Here is a 20,708-nt window from a genome sequence, read left to right on the forward strand (position 1 = left end):
CTTTGATTGGTTCAGATAAAGGCCAATCAGACTTTTGGGGAAGCTCATTGGTGCTTTCCTGAAGTTTCCAGCGCTCAGGGAGGACGGGAGAATGCGGAATGCCCGGCCAATCTGATCGCCGATTGGCTGCTGTTTCCGCCATTCATTTCAGTTTATGCGCCTGTCACTGCCACGTCACCCCCTCCCATCGCTCTTCTCATCATCCTTTTCCGCCCTCATGGATTGGTGGTTGGTATCAGCTGCTCCACCTTTTCTACCATTTACTGAACGAGTTGAGGAAAAAGGGAAGGAGTCTCGTCTTTACATCCTTATTTTCTTTTTTTATTGGTTGGCACCTATGCCACTCACGTGGTGGAGAGGCGGGGCAATAGTTGGAGATGATTGGTTCTGAGAATTGGCTGTGAAAGCGGCATTGCTGACCAGTGAGAGAGACCTAATGAGGAGCAGGCCGGGGCAACCAATGAAATCGGAGAAGAGCGCTTGGGGGCGTGTCCGCCTGCTTTCAGCCTTTGGCAAGTTGGTGGGAGGTGAAAGTGACTTGGCCTCTTAAAAGCGTTTTTTTCACGTGGGTGTGATGTCGTGTTCCGTTTTTCTGAATAAGAACTTCGTAGCTTCTTGTTAGGAAGAACCTGGAGGACAGAGTAACTCTCGGCAGTCAGCCCCCGCCTGAGGCTCTCTTGAAGGACCCCCTTCTAACTCGAAGCTGGATACCCAGATTCCAGGGGTGCCCAGAAGTAGCTTTTCCAGCCCCTTCCTGGATCCATGGTCCCCCTAGTTCCCTTCCCTGTTTGCTCTTTATCGCTCCACACCCCTTGTGTCTTGATTCTAGACTGTCATATGCCTATACCGATTCTGTCCCCTTCAGAAGTAGATTCGCGAGGACCTGACTTTATGTGTCTCTTCCAGACCTAAAGGCCCTTGGTTTTAGCATCATAGGTGCCATGTATATGCTTAACTTTGAACAGAAAATTATTATTTTTTGTATCTTTAAACTGATATATCGTAGTTGTACATATTTAACTTTGGACAGAAAATTTTTTTTATATCTTTAAACTGATATAGTTGTACATATTTTCAGGGATACATCTGATATTGTGATACATGTATTCAATGTATAATTATCAAATCAGTGTAATTGGGATATCCATCATCTCAAACATTATCTTTGTGTTGGGAACATTTTCTGCTATGCGTTCTCTTGTAGCAGGAAATCGTTATTTTTGATCAACTGACTATTCACACATTTGTGAAGATTACAAATTCAGTAACTAATGTAACATTTAGATGTAAGCTATTGTTGCAAATGTAACCTAAAGCGCCGTACTTTAGGGAATCTAGCATCTGTTACATTTTGCTAGTTTGAACAGGCAATAGAAATAGCTATTAGATACTGTAAAAGAAATTGACTTTCTTTGCCAATGTGCTTCCCAGTGTCAATAAATTAAAGTATCCTTTTTAAGAAAATCGTTTCAAAAGAAGCGAAGTATTTATTGAATTCTGGAGAGAGAATACTCTTTAAAAATCTGCAATTTTTACTATCAGGGATCATTTGTATAGCTCATTACTAGTGAATTTCTCTGAATGTGTAGAGCAAAATAAAATCTGCTATTAGATGTAGGCTATTTGGGATTAATTTTTTTTTTAACTGAGCTAGAGTTAATCCATTTAGGCTTGAGTCCTGCTTTTGCTACTTACTGGGTCTATTACTTTGAGAAAATTATTTAAGCACTCCAAGTCTCAGTTTTCACTTATGTTAAACAGGAATAAAACCTCACAGGGATGCTGTTGTGATTAAGTGCGTTTGAATGTGTTTGATAAACTGTAGATAGCTACAAACATGTGAGTTGTGTTGCCAAACACATCTCACAGGTTACTTGCCATCACAAAGGAGAAACATACTTTTACAATGGGGAGATCTGGCAGTCCCCACCTTAACCCAGTTATCCAATGTGTATCAGTAACCCTTGGACAACCAACATTTTTATGAAGTTCCCAGTGTGCTGCAGCATAAAGTATACAGCATCACTTAATGGTGTTTTCTTGCCAAAATACTGAAAGTTAATCTAATCAAGGCTTTGGATCTAAACTCCAGTTTACTGGGCTGGAGGAACCAGTTGAACCATAACCCCAAGGAGATAATCAGATAAATCAAGAACGTGAAGCATTCTATAAGACAACTATTTTATAGAAGATAAGACATAAAGATCAAGGAAAATCAATGTCATAAAAATGGTCAGGGGTGATTGTTCTAAATTTGAAAAAAAACTTAAAGAGATACAATCAAATGCTTAATTGGATTCTGGTTCTGAAAAAGCAGGCTTTTAGACATTTTTGAGACAATTGGGGAAATTTGAAAATGGACTGGTATCAGATGTTGTTAGTTATTACATTTGTTCATTGTAATAATGGTATGCTGGACATGGGGGAAAACATCTTTACAACTTGGAGAAACGTAGGAGTGAAGAGTTATGATATCCGTAACTCTCTTTGAAATGGTTCAGCAAAAAAGAAAGATAAGAGACCAGTCTGGGCAACATAAATAAACCTGTCTCTACTAAAAACAAAAGCAAAACAAAACAAAACAAAAAAATTAGCTGGGCATGGAGGCCTGTGCCTGTAGTTCCAGCTACTTGGGAGACTGAGGTGGGAGGACTGATTGAGCCCAGGAGGTCGAGGCTACAGTGAGCTGTGATTGTGCCACTGCACTCCAGCCTGACAGAGTGAGGCCCTATCTCTCTCTCACACACACACACACACACACACACACACACACACACACACAGAGCCAAGGAAAGATAAATACTTTGAAATGCATACATACACATCTGTCTGTCTGTCTACCTCCCTACCTACCTACCTATCAAGCAAATATGGCAAAATCTTAATTGTTAAATCTATGTGGTAAGTATATAGGTGTTTACTGTACTATTATTTCTACTTTTATTGTATATTTGGAATAATAATTTTAAAAAAGGTTTTGAGAGGCTAGTTTGACCTACTGTTGTTACCTAACACTGCCTCCGGAATACAGAACAGAATTCTTGGCCTGGCAAATGAGACCCATGACAATCTGATGTCACCTCTCCTTTCCAGTCCTTTTTTTTTTTTAAGACAGAATCTCACTCACCTAGGCTGGAGTACAGTGGCACAATCTCAAGTGATTGTCCTGTGTCAGCCTCTGGAGTAGCTGGGATTACAGGCATGCACCACCACACCCAGCTAATTTTTATATTTTTAGTAGAGACAGGGTTTCACCATGTTGGCCAGGCTGGTCTCAAACTCCTGACCTCAGGTGATCTGCCTGCCTTGGCCTCCCAAAGTGCTGGGATGACAGATGTGAGCCACCAAGTGGTGGCTTTGAAATGCATACACACACATCTATCTGTCTGTCTGTCTCCCTCCCTACCTACCTATCAAGCAAATATGGCAAAATGTTAATTGTTAAATCTATGTGGTAAGTATATAGGCTCACACCTGGCCTCTCTCTTTTGTATTGGTGTACTCTGTGTTCCAATTAAATTGATCCACACATTTTTTTCCACATTCACCCTACACTTTCTCAAACTGATGCCTTTGTGTATGCTTTCCCTCCATTAAATGCCCAGTGAACTCCCTCCACAGAATTTCCTCGAATTTTCCTGGCTAGACGTAATGCCCCTTCCTCAGGACTTGCAGAGTTTCCTGTGAGGTTAATTGTCTTGCCTTATAATTATCTATGTTTCAATCATATCTCCCCTACTAGAGGGTCAATTTCTCTAATGTATAACCTGTATCTATTTCATCTTTGTTTCCCCCATGACAGCACGCAACCTAGCATATTCATCTATTTAATAAATATTTATCAATTATCTATTATATATCTTCAGGCCTGAGCCAAGTCTTAGGGACAAAGTAGTGAATGTACAAATAGGCTCTGGCTCCTCATGAAATGTAAAGGATCTTAGGGATATACACAGTATTCGTAGTGAAAAAATATGTAGAGTAATTATACACATATGCACAGTAATATGGAGGACAACAGGTGTAACCTGTTTATTTTTTGTTTGTTTGTTTGTTTGTTTGTTTGAGACAGAGTCTTGTTCTGTTGCCCAGGCTGGAGTGCAGTGGCACGATCACGGCTCACTGCAAGCTCCACCTCCCGGGTTCACGCCATTCTCCTGCCTCAGCCTCCCGAGTAGCGGGGACTACAGGCGCCCGCCACCACGCCCGGCTAATTTTTTGTTTTTGTATTTTTAGTAGAGATGGGGTTTCACCGTGTTAGCCAGGATGGGCTCGATCTCCTGACCTCATGATCCACCCGCCTCGGCCTCCCAAAGTGCTGGGATTACAGGCTTGAGCCACTGTGCCCGGCCCTAACCTGTTTCAAAGAGGGATAAACTGTTTAAGTTGCCACCTGGGGACTGGGGAGGAGTAAGCAAAGGAAATAAATCAGTCATTCTTTTTCCTTTCTCTTTTTTTCCTCCATAGCTAAAATCAGTCATCTTCCTGCGAAGGCATGAGGAGGAAAAGAGAGGAAGTAACTGAGGTGGGTACATAAGGCATGGAGAGTGAAGACCCCAAAGGGCTGTAAGACCTCATAAGGAGTCCAAGTTTTATTCTCATTGCAACAGGAAGCAATCAAAGGGATTAGAGCAAGTGACCCCAGTTCATTCATTCTTTCTTTGTTTCTTTCTGTATCTCTCTTTCTTTTCTTTTCTTTCTATGTTTCTTTCTTTCTCTCTGTCTTTTTTCTTGACAGGGCCTTGCTCTGTCATCTAGGCTAGAGTACAATGATGTAATTAATTATGGTTCGCTGCAACCTTGAACTCCTGGGCTTAAGCAATCCTCCTGCCTCAGCCTCCCAAATAGCTAGGGCTACAGGCATGCACCACTATGCCTAGATACTTTTTATTTTTTGTAGAGACAGGGTCTTGCTGTGGTCTCAAACTCCTGGCCTCAAGTTATCCTCCCGCCTCAGCCTCGCAAAATGTTGGGAGTGGAGCCACCGTGCCTGGCCTCAATTCTTGTTTAAAATTATCACTGGCTGATGTGTGGAGTCACAAGAGTGGAGAGGGACAGCAATTAGGAAACTTCTACCATCATTTTTTTTTTTTTTTTTTTGAGATGGAGTCTCAAATTGTCACCTGGGCTGGAGTGCAGTGGTGCCATCTCGGCTCACTGCAACCAGGTTCAAGAGATTCTTCTGCCTGAGCCTCCAGAGTAGCTGGGATTACCGGCACCTGCCACCACGCCAGGCTAATTTTTTTGTATTTTTAGTAGAGATGGGGTTTCACTATGTTGGCCAGGCTGGTCTGGAACTCCTGACCTCATGTGATCCACCCGCCTCAGCCTCCCAAAGTGCTGAGATTACAGACGTGAGCCACCACACCCAGCCTTCTACCATCTTTTAGAAGAGAAATATTGATGACTTGGTTGAATGTGGTGGAAACAGGGATGGAGAGAAGTGGATACATTCCACATATATTTGGAGATATACCTGATAGGACCGGGCACATGATAATGATTCAGTTAATGTTTAATGTGTGAAATAATTACAACTTTAAAAAATTGGTGTTTTATTTTTCTCATGAAGTCATTGTCCTCATCCCAATATCCAGTCAGTAACAAAAAACTGATGATCTTTTATGCACCCCTTTCTTTACTGGCCTAGATTCTTGTGCTTTCTTCTCACTTTTAAACTCGTCTATTTGCCCCTAGTCTATCTTCCAGAATTCTCCTCACAACTGCCAAAGGGATCTTCTTTTTTTTTTTTTTTTTTTTTGAGACAGAGTCTCTCTCTGTCACCCAGGCTGAAGTGCAGTGGCACAATCTTGGCTCGCTGCAACCTCTGCCTCCTTGGTTCTAGTGATTCTCGTGCCTCAGCTTTCCAAGTAGCTGGGACCACAAGTGCATGCCACCATGCTCTGCTAATTTTTGTATTTTTTGTAGAGACAGGTTTTTGCCATGTTGCCCAGGCTGGTCTTGAATTCCTGAGCTCAAGAGATCTGCCTGCCTCAGCCTCCCAAAGTGCTGGCGTTACAGGCGTGAGCCACCATGCTCGGCCAGGATTTTCTTAAAATAGTCTGTTCCTTACCTGAGTTTCTTGCTCCGTAATCCTCAAATGACCCCCCTCTGGTCTACAGGATAAAGTCCTGATAGCTCACTTTGCCATCTAAGGCCCTACCCTACCAGGTCCTAATCTTGCTTTCCTGTCCCACTTTTTACAACTCTTTTCAGTCCATACTGGTTTACCTGCCAGACTCCAATATATTGGATATTTTTGCTTTCATGATTTTTTTTTACATAAACTATATTTTTTTAGAGCAGTTTTAGATTCACAGCAAAATTGAGCTGAAATTACAGAGAGTTCCATGCACAGCCTCTCCTACTATCAACATCCAGAGTGGTGTAACTGTTAAAATTGATGAATCTACACTGACACATCATTATCCACCCAAAACCCATAGTTTACATTAGTGTTTATTTGGCATTGTACATTCTATGGGTTTTAACAATGTATAATGACATTTATCCAGGATTAAATATCATACAGATTAGTTTTATTGTCCGAAAAAACCTCTCTGCTCCACCTATTCATTCCTCCTTTTTCCTTAACTCTTGGCAACCAGTGATCTTTCTACTGTCTTCACAGTTACGCCTTTTCCAGAATGTCTTATAGTTTGAATCACACACATACATTTGTCCTTCAGTATCCATGGGGAATTGGTTCCCAGATTCTCTGCAAATACCAAAATCCACAGATGGTCAAGTCTGTTATACAAAATGGTATAGTATTTGCATATAACCTATACACATCTTCTCTTATACTTTAAATTATCTCTAGATTATTTCTAATACCCAATACAATGTAAATGCTATGTAAATAGTTGTTATCCTATATTGTTTAGGGAATAATGACAGGAAAAAAGTCTGTACATATTCAGTACAGGCACAAGCATCTCTTTTTGGGAGAATATTTTTGATACTTGGTTGAAATCGTGGATGCAGAACCCACAGATATGGAGGGCTGACTGTAGTTTGAAAAGAAGCCTTTTAAAAACTGGCTTCTTTCCGGGCGTGGTGGCTCATGCCTGTAATCCCAGCACTTTGGGAGGCTGAAGCGGGTGGATCACAAGGTTAAGAGATTGAGACCATCCTGGCCAACGTGGTGAAACCCCGTCTCTACTGAAAATACAAAAATTAGCTGGGCGTGGCGGCACGTGCCTGTAGTCCCAGCTACTCAGAAGGCTGAGGCAGGAGAATCGCTTGAACCCAGGAAGGGGAGGTTGCAGTGAGCCAAGATCGTGCCACTGCACTCCAGCCTGGGCGACAGAGAGAGACTCCATTTAAAAAATAAAATAAAATAAAATAAAATTGGCTTCTTTCACTTAGTAGTATGCATTTAAGTTTCCTTTATGTATTGCCTTATACAGATGTACCACAGATCTTGACCACCTCGCTTCAAATCCTGTTTTGGCTAAGTGATGCAATCTTGTGCTGTTTACTTAACCTCTCACCAGTTTCCTTATGACCATACTAACAGCATCTTTTTCTCAAGGTTTTGGGGAAGGATTAAATAAAAATACATGAAATGTGTCTGGCATATGGTAAATCATAAATGCTGACTGTAATTACTAATTATGCAAGACTATCTTTGTAGCACAACATAACTAACCCTAAGAGGACCGACATGTCTTTCTTGAGGGCATTAGACGTACCGTAGAAAAACCTGGAAATACTGGGACTTTATATGAGGTAAAAATAATATAATGAATGGATGCCAGCTTTTATTGAGTGTTAAGCACTTTCACAAATATTGATTTTTTGTCATAATCCCACTTGTTCTACCACCCCTTTTACAGGTAGAGAAACTGAGATTCATGAATAAAGTAACTTGCAAAGGTGAAGCTAACACTCAAACACAGATATGAATAGGGCTATAGTCCGATATTACTTGTGCCTTGGAGCCATTTTTAAAACAACAACAAACAATTCGAGGTGCTGGGTGCAATGTCTCACGCCTGTAATCCCAGAATTTTGGGAGGCTGAGGTGGGCAGATCACTCAAGCTCAGCCTGGGCAACATGGTGAAACCCCATCTATACCAAAAATACAAATCATTAGCCGGGTGTGGTAGCTCACGCCTGTAGTCCCAGCTACTCAGGAGGCTGGGGGAGGCTCTCTTGAGCCTGGGAGCTGGAGGCAGCAGTGAGCCGAGCTCATGCCACTGCACTCCAGCCTGGGCAACAGAGTGAGACCTCGTCTCAAAACAAGCAAAACAATTCAAATAGTTAAGTTAGGAGTCGAGATGTATTATATTTTCTGTCATCAAAATTAAACCAAATGTCACACAAACCCTTCTGTTTCACAACTGATTATCATGCTTTGCACTTCACAGAGAAAATGCAGGCTCCCAAAGTGCTGGGACCACAGGCCTGAGCCACCATGCCTGGCCAGACACAGACTTCTTTCTCCTCCTTTGTATATTGTTTCTGTTATTACCTTTTGCCCTAAGGTGGCTGCTAGAGCTTCTAGAATTCCCTAGAATTTGTAATAACTTAAAATTCAAGGGTGGGCACAGTGTCTCATGTTTGTAATCCCAGCACTTTGGGAGACTGAGGTGGGTGGATCACTTGAGGTCGGGAGTTCGAGACCAGCCTGGCCAACATGGTGAAACCCTGTCTCTACTAAAAATACAAAACTTAGGCCAGGCGCGGTGGCTCAGGCCTGTAATCCCATCACTTTGGGAGATGGAGGAGGGCGGATCACCTGAGGTCAGGAGTTCAAGACCAGTCTGGCCAACAAGGTGAAACCCTGTCTCTACTAAAAATACAAAAATTAGCTGGGTGCAGTGGCGGGCACCTGTAATCCCAGCTTCTCAGGAGGCTGAGGCAGGAGAATTGCTTGAACCCGGGAGGCGGAGGTTGCAGTGAGCTGAGATCGCCCCATTGCACTCCAGCCTGGGCAACAGAGCGAGACTCCATCTCAAAAAAAAAAAAAAAAACAATTAGCCGGGCATGGTGGCATGTGCCTATCGTCTCAGCTACTTGGGAGGTTGAGGTGAGAGGATGGCTTGAACCCGGGAAGTGGAGGTTGCAATGAGCTGAGATCGCGCTACTGCACTCCAGCCTGGGCGACAGGGTGAGATCCTGTCTCAAAATAAAGTAAAATAAAATAAAATTAAATTAAATTTAAAAAAATTTGTCTAATTACACTTAATGAACTCTAATACAGGTTGAATAGCCCTTATCCGAAATGCTTGGGACCAGAAGAGTTTCAGATTTCTGATTTTTATTTTTTGGATTTTGGAATATTTCCATTATATATAGAGTGCTTACTGGTTCAGCATCCCTAATCTGAAAATTCTAAACCTGAAATGCTCCAATGAGCATTTCTTTTGAGCATCATGTCAGCACTCAAAAATTTTCAGATTTTGGAGTATTTTGGATTTCAGATTTTCAGATTAGAGATGCTCAACCTGTACCAAATGATTGAAAAAGTCCTTCATAATAATTGGGATTAGGTTTATTTGGAAGTAACAGAGGCCCAATTTACATTGGTTTAAACCCATAATAGTTTATTCTCACACAGGAAAGAAATCCCAGGATAGGAAGCTCAAGGTTGGAATGGTGGCTCAATGAAGTCTTCAGAGACATAGACTTTTTTTTTTTTTTTTTGAGCCAGGGTCTCACTCTGTTGCTCAGGCTGGAGTGCAGTGGTTCAATCTTGGCTCACTGCAGCCTCGACCTCCCAGTCTCAAGGGATCCTCCACCTCAGCCTCATGGCTATTCTTTTTTTTTTTTTTTGGTATTTTTAGTAGAGATGGGGTCTTGCTATGTTTCCCAGGCTTGTCCTGAACTCCTGGACTCCAGTGATCCACCTGCTTTGGCCTCCCAAAGTGCTGGGACTATCGGCCTGAGCCACCTTGCCCCGCCAGACACAGACTTCTTTCTCTCCATTGTATGTTGTTTCTGTTATTACCTTTTGCCCCAGGGTGGCTGCTAGAGCTTCAGTCATTACATCTGCATTTGAAGCAGCAAGAAGAGGGAAGTAAGGAGGACAAAAGTGTAGTGCCTTCCCCTTAGGGAGAATTTTTGGAAGTCACACACGACATGTCTACTTATTCTCTGTGGGATAGAGAAATGATGGAAAATGATTGTAATCAGGCTTTCTTTGTCTACCGCTCACTCACTGCAATCTTGGACACATGTACATGTTCTCTCTCTCTTATTTTCTTCCTTCCTTCAAACACAAACCTATTACATTTTAACTGAATTAACTCTTTAAAGAACCTATTTTCAAATAGAGTGACATTCTGAGGTACAGGGGTTAGGACTTCAGTATAAGAGTTTTGGGGGTGGACACAATTTAGCCCATAACATACAGAGGATACATATGATATGTGAAAGTTACAAAGCACAATAGTCAAACCAATACTGCTCAAGGCACCACTCAACATAAGAAATACAAAATGACCAGTTTTCTACATCCTATCCCAATACCATGCCCCTAAACACTTCCAAAAGTAACTCGTCTTAAATGTATTTTTTCCCAACTTTCATTTTGGATTCAGAGGGTACATGTGCAGGTTTGTTACAAGTGTATTGTGTGATGTTGAGGTCTGAGGTATAGATGATCCTGTCACCCAGGTAGTGAGCATAGTATCCAATGGTTTTTCAACCCATGTCCACCCCTCCCCCAACTTTTGGAAGTCCCCAGTGTCTATTGTTCCAATTTTATGCCCATGTGTACTCATTGTTTAGCTCCTACTTATAAGTGAGAACATGCAGTATTTGGTTTTCTGTTTCTGCATTAACTCACTTAGGACAATGGCCTCTAGATGCATCCATGTTCCTGCAAAGGATATCATATTGCTCTTTTTTATGGCTGTGTAGTATTCTATGATGTATATGTACCACATTTTATTTATCCAGTCTACCATTGTTGATGGGCACCTAGGTTGATTCTATGCCTTTGCTATTGTGAATAGTGCTGAGATGAACATATGTGTGCATGTATCATTTTGATGTCGATTCCGCATGCAGAGCAGTCGAGTTGCCCTACGTGTGCCACTCACGACAGAAGCCCTTTTTTGCATGTATCATTTTGGTAGAATGATTTATATTCCTTTGGGTATATACCCAGTAATGGAATTGCTGGGTCAGATGGTAGTTCTGTTTTAAGTTCTTTGAGAAATCTCCAAACTGCATTCCACAGTGGCTGAACTAATTTGCATTCCCACCAGCAGGGTACAAGCATTCCACAGCCTCGCCAGCATCTGATATTTTTTTTCACTTTTTAATAATAGTTATTGTGACTGGTGTGAGATGGTACCTCATTGTGGTTTTGATTTGCATTTCTCTGATGATTAGTGATGATGAGCATTTTTTCATGTTTGTTGGCCATTTTTCTGTCTTGTTTTGAGAAGTATCTGTTCATGTCCTTTGCCCATTTTTAAATTGGAATATTTGTTTTTTGCTTGTTGCTAAATCTATGTTTAAAAAAATTGTTCCCTCAGTCGATTTGCCTTTTAAAGGCCCAGATTCATCCTGTAGACCAGTGATAATATGAGGCTCTCTGATAAGTGCTCCCTTTTTTTATTTCCATCTCCATACAGCAGAGTGATTTTTAAAAGTATAAGTCATATGACGTTTTGTGTTTTTTACTTAAAACTCTGCAAAGATTTCCCATTGCAATAAGAATAAATCCCTTCAAGACCATGTGTGGTTACTCTCTGCCCCACTCCATTAACTCTAACAACATTGACTTTCTGTGGTTCCTTGAACTCAAACTCATTTTCATCTCAGGGGCTTGGCTACCTTCTTTATTTTGCTTAGGATGCTCTTCCTAGACCTTTGCACATCTGTCTCTTCTCATTATTCAGATGTCTGCTTGAATGTCACCTGCTTATCAAGGACTTCCTTGCTACTCTGTCTACAGTACAAGTACATCTCCCCCACTCAAATCACTTTGTTCTTTTCTTAGCACTTATCATTGTAAGTATCCCCCTCAGAATGCAAACTGCATCAGAATACGGGTTTAGTTTGTCTTTGTCACCACTGTATCTGGAGTAATGTGGGACATACAAGACCTTAACTGATTTATATTATCAAATTGTTCCTGACCTAGGGGTTGTTGTGATAAAATGAGTGACAATGTATTTTGAAATGAGTCTTGTAAACACAGACTAATTTATTACATCAAGCTCTATTCTCTGAATAATCTGTTTAGGCTCTGTTTGCTTCTTTTTCTTTTCTTTTCTTTTCTTTTTTTTTTTTTTTGAGACAGGGTCTCACTCTGTCACCCAGGCTGGAGTGCAGTGGCGCGATCTCGGCTCACTGCAACCTCCACCTTCCAGGCTCAAGCGATTCTCCTGCCTCAGCCTCCCAAGTAGCTGGGATTACAGGTGCCACCACCATGCCCGGCTAATTTTTTATCTTTTTAGTAGAGGCGGGTTTTCACCATGTTGGCAGGCTGGTCTCAAACTCCTGACCTCATATGATCCACCCGCTTTGGCCTCCCAAAGTGCTGGGATTACAGGTGTGAGCCATCATGCCCAGCCTTCTCCTCTCCCCTCCCCTCCCCTCCCCTCCTTCCCTCCCTCCCTCCTGCCCACCCGCCTGCCTGCCTGCCTGCCTGCCTGCCTGCCTTCCTTCCTTCCTTCCTTCCTTCCTTCCTTCCTTCCTTCCTTCCTTCCTTCCTTCCATCCTTCCTTCCTTCGTTTTTGTGAGATAGGGTCTCATTTGTCAGCTGGAGTGCAGTGGAGCAATCACAGCTCACTGCAGCCTCAACTTCCTGGGCTCAAGTGATCCTCCCACCTCAGCCTCCCAAGTAGCTGGGACTATAGGCATGTGCCACCATGCCTGGTTAATTTTTAAAAATTTTTTGTAGAGATGGGGGTCTCACTATGTTGCCCAGGCTGGTCTTGAACTCCTAGGCTCAAGTGGTCCTCCTGCCTCAACCTCCCAAAGTGCTGGGATTACAAGGGTAAGCCACTGCACCCAGCTAAGCTTTGTTTCGTTTTCTTTTCTTTCTTTTTTTTTTTTTTTAGATGGAGTCTTGCTCTGTTGCCCAGGCTGGAGTGCAGTGGCGCAATGTCAGCTCACTGCAACCTCTGCCTCCCGGGTTCAAGCGATTCTCCTACCTCAGTCTCTTAAGTAGCTGGGACTACAGGCGCAAGCCACCATACCTGGCTGATTTTCGTATTTTTAGTAGAGATAGGGTTTCACCATATTGGCCAGGGTGGTCTCAAACTCCTGACCTCAAGTGATCTGCCCACCTCAGTCTCCCAAAGTGCTGGGTTACCCATATGAGACACTGTGCCCAGCCTTGAATTTTAAGTTGGGATTACAGGTGCTGGGATTACTGGTGTGAGCCACTGTGCCTGGCCAGCTTTGTTTCTCAATAACAAAACTATTTCATGACCAGGTATTTGTTGGATGTCTGCTAGGTGTTGACTCTGTGCTGGGCTTTGTGGTACAGCCATGAACAAGACAGACTATTTCTGTATTTGTGAAGCTCCCATATTAATGCAGTGAATTTATGAAAAAAACAATTGCTGTGACAATATATCTAATGTAAAAAATACCTTTCAAAATACTGGGAATGAGGAAGAGTGGAAGCAAGGAGCTCTTTTTTTTCCCTCCCTAGATGATGTTTAAATAAAAAAGACCATAGAGATGCCTGACAGTTGCATTGCTGTGACTCTGATCCTTATATATTGCAATTGGTTCTGATAATTACAACCTGAATTGCTCCCTTTTTGACATTACTGAGAGGCAATTGTCTAATCTGCTTACTGCAAATGAAGGCATTAAAATCCAATCAGAAGAGTTTGCAGATGCAATGTTAAAGCCTCACAGCTTTTCAGCTGCTCCTCTGAAGCTTGGGTCCAGGAATAGGAGCCTTCTTGCAGCCAAGACACTAGAAATGGAGCTCAAAACTTAAGGTTTAAATCCCAGTTTTAGACCTTACCAGCTGGAAGGTCTTGCTGATCTAGTTTTGGTACTGTACAATTATAGTTGCCCATCCTACTTCAAAAGGTTATAGAGAAGACTGAATTGGAACACGAATGTGTTCTTTGTACACTATAAAATAACTATGGAAATGTGACATTGTGGGTTTACCTTTGTTACTGTTAGATGAACAACAGTAACTGAAAAAAAGTATTTGAAGATTGAATCCTATTAACAGGAGAACAATCAGATAAATGATGGCATAATGGCACACAGTGGAATACTATACAACTATGAAAAAGAACAGGGGACCAGGTACAATGTCTCATGCCTGTAATCCCAGCACTTTGAGAGGCCAGGTTGGGAGGACTGAATGAGCCCAGGAGTTTGAGACCAGCCTGGGCAACAAGCAAGACCTTGTCTCTGCAAAAAATAAAATAATTAGTCAGGCATGGTGGTGCACACCTTTTTTCCCAGCTATTCAGGAGGCTGAGATGGAGGTTGGGGGTCTAGTGAGACATGATCACACCACTGCACTCCAGATTGGACAACGGAGCAAGACCCTGTATCAAAAAGAAAAGAACAGGGTAGCTCTCTATATACCAACACAGAAAGATGCCCATGATCTATTAAGAGAGAAAACAGTAAAACTATAATTCTATCTATGTATGCATGTGCATGCAGACATCACTTGGGGAACAATACACTAAACTGTTAGCAGTGTTTTTTCTGGGGGTTCAAATCTGAGAAAACTTCCTTTTGTTAGTTATATGCAGATTTGTTTCTCATTTGCTAGATTAGTGCAATCTAAGCAATTTAAGAAATTTTATATTCACAACTGGCAAAGTACTCGTGTCACTGATTACCTAGCTCCCTGCTAGATATTTCACAGATCTCAAGTCTGATTTTGGTTAATATTGCTTTGGGGAACGAACTTGGCTGAACTGGGAGCTTGGAGAGTCATGCTGAATAATAAACAAGCTCCTCAGAACAGCCTTACATGCAACATTTGCAAAATAAGAAGCAAAGCAGAGGCTGTCATGAGACCTGCAATCTATTCACAACTGTGCTTCTGATGCAAGAAGGAAGAAGGTAAAAATGCTATTAGGTGATTTTAGGATACTGATTTCCCAGACTAAGACTTATTTCCTAAAAACCCAAATACTAAGTTCTCAGGGACCACAATATTAAATGTATTTAAGCACAGCTGGGAGGGGAGGAAAAATATAAGACCCCTTCAGTCTTCCCAGTTCTGCTTCTCACACAATGAACTTCACAGCCCCCCAAAAGTAGATGGCTGTCAAATTCAGAAAGCTGGCCAGGCGCAGTGGCTCATGCCTGTAATCCCAGCATTTTGGGAGGCCAAGGCAGGCAGATCACTTGAGGTCAGGAGTTCGAAGCCAGCCTGTCCAACATGGTGAAACCCTGTCTCTATTAAAAATGCAAAAAATTAGCCGGGCGCGGTGGCGGGCGCCTGTAGTCCCAGCACTTTGGGAGGCCGAGGCGGGTGGATCATGAGGTCAGGAGATCGAGACCATCCTGGCTAACAAGGTGAAACCCCGTCTCTACTAAAAATACAAAAAATTAGCCGGGCGCGGTGGCGGGCGCCTGTAGTCCCAGCTACTGGGGAGGCTGAGGCAGGAGAATGGCGTTGAACCCGGGAAGCAGAGCTTGCAGTGAGCCGAGATTGCGCCACTGCAGTCCGCAGTCCAGCCTGGGCGACAGAGCGAGACTCCGTCTCAAAAAAAAAAAAAAAAAAAAAAAAAAATGCAAAAATTAGCTGGGCGTAATCTCAGTAGCTGTAATCCCAGCTACTCGAGAAGCTGAGGCAGGAGAATCGCTGGAGCCCAGGAGGCAGAGGTTGCAGTGAGCCAAGATCGTGCCACTGCACTCCAGCTTGAGCGACAGGGTGAGATTCTGTCTTAAAAAAAATAAAAAGTTCAGAAAGTCATGTCTTGTCCTTCCTAATGTTTAGCAGGGCAACTTGGGCAATTTAACAGCCACAGTTTGGAAAAAATGCAATTTAGTGTAAATGTGGAAGCTGTATTTGGGATTTGTTAAAGTGGTTCTTTGATCCCACACTTGGTATATCACCTTAAATGTTCATAGCAGAGGTCAGGTGCGGTGGCTCAGGCCTGTAATCCCAGCACTTTGGGAGGCTGAGGCGGGCAGATCACAAGGTCAGGAAATCGAGAACATCCTGGCCAACATGGCGAAACCCCGTCTATACTAAAAATACAAAATTAGTTGGGCATGGTGGCGCATGCCTCAGGAGGCTGGGGCAGGAGAATCGCTTGAACCCAGGGGGTGGAGGTTGTGGTGAGCTGAGATTATGCATCGCACTCCAGCCTAGGCAACAAGAGTGAAACTCTGTCTAAAAAAAACAAAAACAAAAAACAAAAACTGCTCATCACTGGTCATTAGATAAATGCGAATCAAAATTACAATGAGATACCATCTCACGCCAGTCAGAATGGTGATCATTAAAAAGTTAGGACTTATTTTTTCACTAGAAATAACTACTATGTTTAGCAGCTTTAAGATAATATCCCCCTTTTAAGGTTATAATACACGCTGATTGAAGACAAATTGGGAAAATATGAAAAAGCAGGAACAATCACCTAAACACAAAATCCTCCACAGCCCTTTCCCTTAAAGGCAACCACTATTTGGTCATTTTTGATTTCACTCTTCTTGCCTACATATATATCTATATATATATATCTATATATATATCTATATATATCTATATATATATCTATATATATCTATATATATCTATATATATATATCTATATATATCTATATATATATCTATATATATATATCTATATATATCTATATATATCTATATATCATATATATAGATATATATCTATATATATATCTATATATATCTATATATATATCTATATATATATCTAGACATATATATGTAAAATATCTATATCTGTATCTGTCTATATATGTATTTTGAGACGGGGTATCACTCTGTTGCCCAAGCTGGAGGTCAGTGGCACAATCTTGGCTCACTGCAACCTCCACCTCCTGGGTTCAAGCAATTATCCAGCCTCAGCCTCCCTAGTAGCTGAGATTAAAGGTGCGCACCACCACGCCCAGCTAATTTTTGTATTTTTAGTAGAGGCGAGGTTTTGCCATATTGGCTAGGCTGGTCTCGAACTCCTGATCTCATGTGATCTGCCTGCCTTGGCTTCCCAAAGTGCTAGGATTGCAGGCGTGAGCCACCATGCCTAGCCTCCCATATATTTTTTACTCCACAGATTGTCATGTACATATACAGAACCTATTTTTTACTTAGCATTATATTCTTACATTTTCCTATGTAACTAAATTCTTCAAAAACAACTTTTTCTTGAAAAATATTTTTTCTTCTAAGAACATAAGCAATACATTTTCTCTATAGAAAATTTGAAAATTATTGAAAAGCCAAAAGGAAAAGAAAGTTCTCCATAATCCCATCACCTACAGATACCAGTAATCTTTAGAAACATATCTTTCCAATATTTTCTTCATACATGCATTTTCTTAAAAATTGGATTCAAAGCATGTATGTTTTTTCCCCATACTATATAAAATATTTTCCATGATTAAATATTCTGCCTTTTTAAATTTTTCTAGACAGGGTCTTGCTCTGTCTCCCAGGCTGAATCTCATTATAGCCTCGAACTCCTAGGCTCAGGCAATCCTGCCTCAGCCTCCTGAGTTAGCTGAGAGTACAGGCACATGCCACCATGCCTGGCTTATTTTTAAATTTTTTTGCAGAGACAAAGTCTTACAAAGTCTTCCCTCCCAAAGTGCTGGGATTACAAGCATGAGCAACTGCACCTAGCGCAATATTCTGCCTAATTATCCACAACACATGGATCATTGTTTACTTAGCCATTATTGTAATATTGAACATTTAGATTATTTCTAATTTTTCTATTAAGTAAAGCTGACTGGGTGAAATGGCTCATGCCTCTAATGAATCATTTGGGAGGCCAAGGCAAGTTTGAGACCAGCCTGGGTAACAGAGCAAGACCCTATCTCTACAAAAAATAAAATAATTAGCTGGGCAAGGTGGCATGTGTCTGTAGTCCCAGCTACTCGTGAGGCTGAGGTGGGAGGATTGCTTGAGGCCAGGAGTTCAAGGCTGCAGTGAGCTATGATTGCACCACTGCACTAAAGCCTGGGCAACAGAGCAAGATCTTGTCTTCAAAAAATAAAAATAAGGAAAGCTGTGGTAAGTACCATTGCTTTGTTATATTTTCTTAGATTTCTAAAGCCAAAGTAATTGTTCAAAGGCTAAGAATACTTTGAAGTGCTCCACACTGTGAAAGCACTTTCCAGAAACGTAGACATTTACCCCCACCAGTGAGTGGCAGCCCCAAATTCTCACTAACATTATTTTTAAAGTTTTTATTAATTTGGTAGGATAAAAACATTTACTTTTTACTTCTCTGATTACCAGTCGGGGTGAGGTTCTTAATATTATTCACTTGCACTTTATTTTGTGAACGTTTATTCACAAGGCTGTACCTATTACCCATTAGAGTTTATTACCTATGTATTATTTATCAGGTTCTTCTTTTTCTTACATAGGACATTACATGCATTAGTATCAGTTTTCAACTCTGTGCCATATTCTTGTAAATTATTTTAGTGCATCACTTAATTTTTTTTGAAGTTAACATTGTCCTCATTAGTTACTCTGAGGTTTACAAATTACTTTTTAAGAAATAATAATAAAAAAATTGTACATGGGATTTTATTATGTTGCCCAGGGCCAGGTATAGTGGCTGATGACTTTTAAGTCATTTGTGACCAGGCACAGTGGCTCATGCCTGTAATCCCAACACTTTGGGAAGCCAAGTCGGGAGAATCACTTGAACCCAGTAGTAGTTCAAGACCAGCCTGGGCAACATAGTAAAATCCCATGTACAAATTTTTCTTTTCTTTTTTTTGAGACTGAGACGGAGTTTTGCTCTTGTTCCCCAGGCTGGAGTGCAGTGGCGCAATCTCAGCTCATTGCAACCTCTACCTCCCGGGTTCAAGTGATTCTCCTGCCTCAGCCTCCCAAGTAGCTAGGATTACAGGCATGTGCTACTATGCCCGGCTAATTTTGTACTTTTAGTAGAGATGGGTTTTCACCATGTTGCCCAGGGTGGTCTCAAACTCCTGACTTCAGGTGATCTGCCTGCCTCAGCCTCCCAAAGTGCTGGGATTACAGGCATGAGCCACCGCACCTGGCCTCACATATGAGTTTTTTTCTTGGCTTTACTACTAGCCAGCTGTGGCACCTCGGGCAAGTCACTGCACTCTCAGAGATTTGGCTTCCTCAAATTGTGAGGACTGGACTACATGATCTCTAGGGATTTCTTCATGTCTGACATTTAGAATCTTGTCTTCCGTGAAAAGTAGGGGCATCCTTGGGCCAGTCCACTCTAACAAAGCAGGGCTATCTAATAACACCTGTAGTGTTTCATGTTAAGAGGTGTGAATAAATCTTTTACTGGAAGATAATTTTATTTCCTTACAGCGATAATATGCTGTATGAGCCTCCTGCTCTGCTGCCCATTACCTGCGTCACCTCCACAAGCTACTGAACCTCAAGGAACCCATCTCCTCATCAGGAAAAAAAATAAGCTTTATGTAGGTAGGCACCTAATAATGTTAAATTATCTCCTGTCTCTTTATCATTTAAAACTTTGGAGGCTCACTCCTGTAATCCAGCACTTTGGGAGGCCAAGGCAGAAGAATCCCTTGAGCCAGGGGTTTGAGCCCAGCCTGGGCAATGTAGCGAGACCTCATCTCTACTAAAAATCAAAAAATTTAGCTGGGCATGATGGCACCCGCCTGTAGTATTCCCAGCTACTTGGGAGGCTGAGGTGGGAGAACTGCTTGAGCCTGGGAGGTAGAGGCTGCAGTGAGCCATGATTGTGTCACTGCACTGTAACCTGGGTGACAGAGAAACTCATCTCAGAAAAAGAAGAAAACCTTCAGGCTGAGTGCAGTGATTCACACCTGTACTCCCAGCATTTTGGGGGGCCAAGGTGGGAAGATCACTTGAGCCTGGGAGTTCAAGACCAGCCTGGGCAACATAGGGAGATCCCGACTCTACAAAAAGTATAAAAATTACCCAGGTGTGGTGGTGCACACCTGTAGTCCCAGTTACTCGGGAGGCTGAGGTGGATCACTTGAGCCTGGGAGATCGAGGCTGCAGTGAGTGGTGATTGTGCTACTGTGCCACTACACTCCAGCCTGAGTGACACAGGCCCTGTCTTGAAAACAAAACCCCACTTTTTTTTGCCCCTTTCTATGTGTTTGCTGAATCTTTTATCTTGAGCATTTTAGAGTAAAAATGATACTCAAGTCTGAAATAATAAAAATAAATTCACTATAAAGAATGACCAACCTTTTCCCATCTCCTTTGAAGAGATGAGTTTTGAAATACAATATGCTCAGAACTAAGTAAATACTATCCATGAAGGCAGCTGAATGCCTCATTGGGCTACATGAGTCTCTTAAAGGGGGACAGATTCCTCAATGCCTAGAGATGGGCAGGATGGAGAAGACAAACTACAGTTTATCTACTACAATTTATAATTTTGTCGTACAGTTAAAATGGGGGGAGGAGAAACTGAAAGCATCTTAGATTTTTAAAGACAAGTTATTATATAAAAATATTTGTCTTCTTTGCAACAAAATTAAAAAGGTAAAAATATAGGTAATAATATCTTTAATCCCCTACATCAAGAAGTTGACAGTCTATCTA

The 20,708-nt window shown here is 41.8% G+C and overlaps 1 long non-coding RNA gene across 2 annotated transcripts, besides 1 other annotated feature; it reads left to right on the plus strand.

Annotated features, from left to right (window-relative positions):
• On the plus strand, positions 7-19,589 carry LOC101927226 (uncharacterized). Of its 2 annotated transcripts, none has more exons than XR_001748236.2 (3): positions 7-527; positions 4,468-4,525; positions 19,473-19,589. It is a non-coding gene; the product is annotated as an uncharacterized LOC101927226 (long non-coding RNA). The 2 variants fall into 2 exon arrangements; XR_001748237.2 differs by having other exon boundaries at positions 7-228.
• Positions 200-289: an enhancer, noted in NCBI's record as "active region_4758". NCBI's record gives its function as "activates an Ori minimal core promoter by ATAC-STARR-seq in GM12878 lymphoblastoid cells {active_cell/tissue: GM12878}" and the evidence as "EXISTENCE:reporter gene assay evidence [ECO:0000049][PMID:35858748]".
• Positions 19,590-20,708: the final 1,119 nt, after the last annotated feature.

This window comes from Homo sapiens, chromosome 11, assembly GCF_000001405.40.
Source record: "Homo sapiens chromosome 11, GRCh38.p14 Primary Assembly".
Classification (NCBI taxonomy): Eukaryota; Metazoa; Chordata; class Mammalia; order Primates; family Hominidae; genus Homo; species Homo sapiens.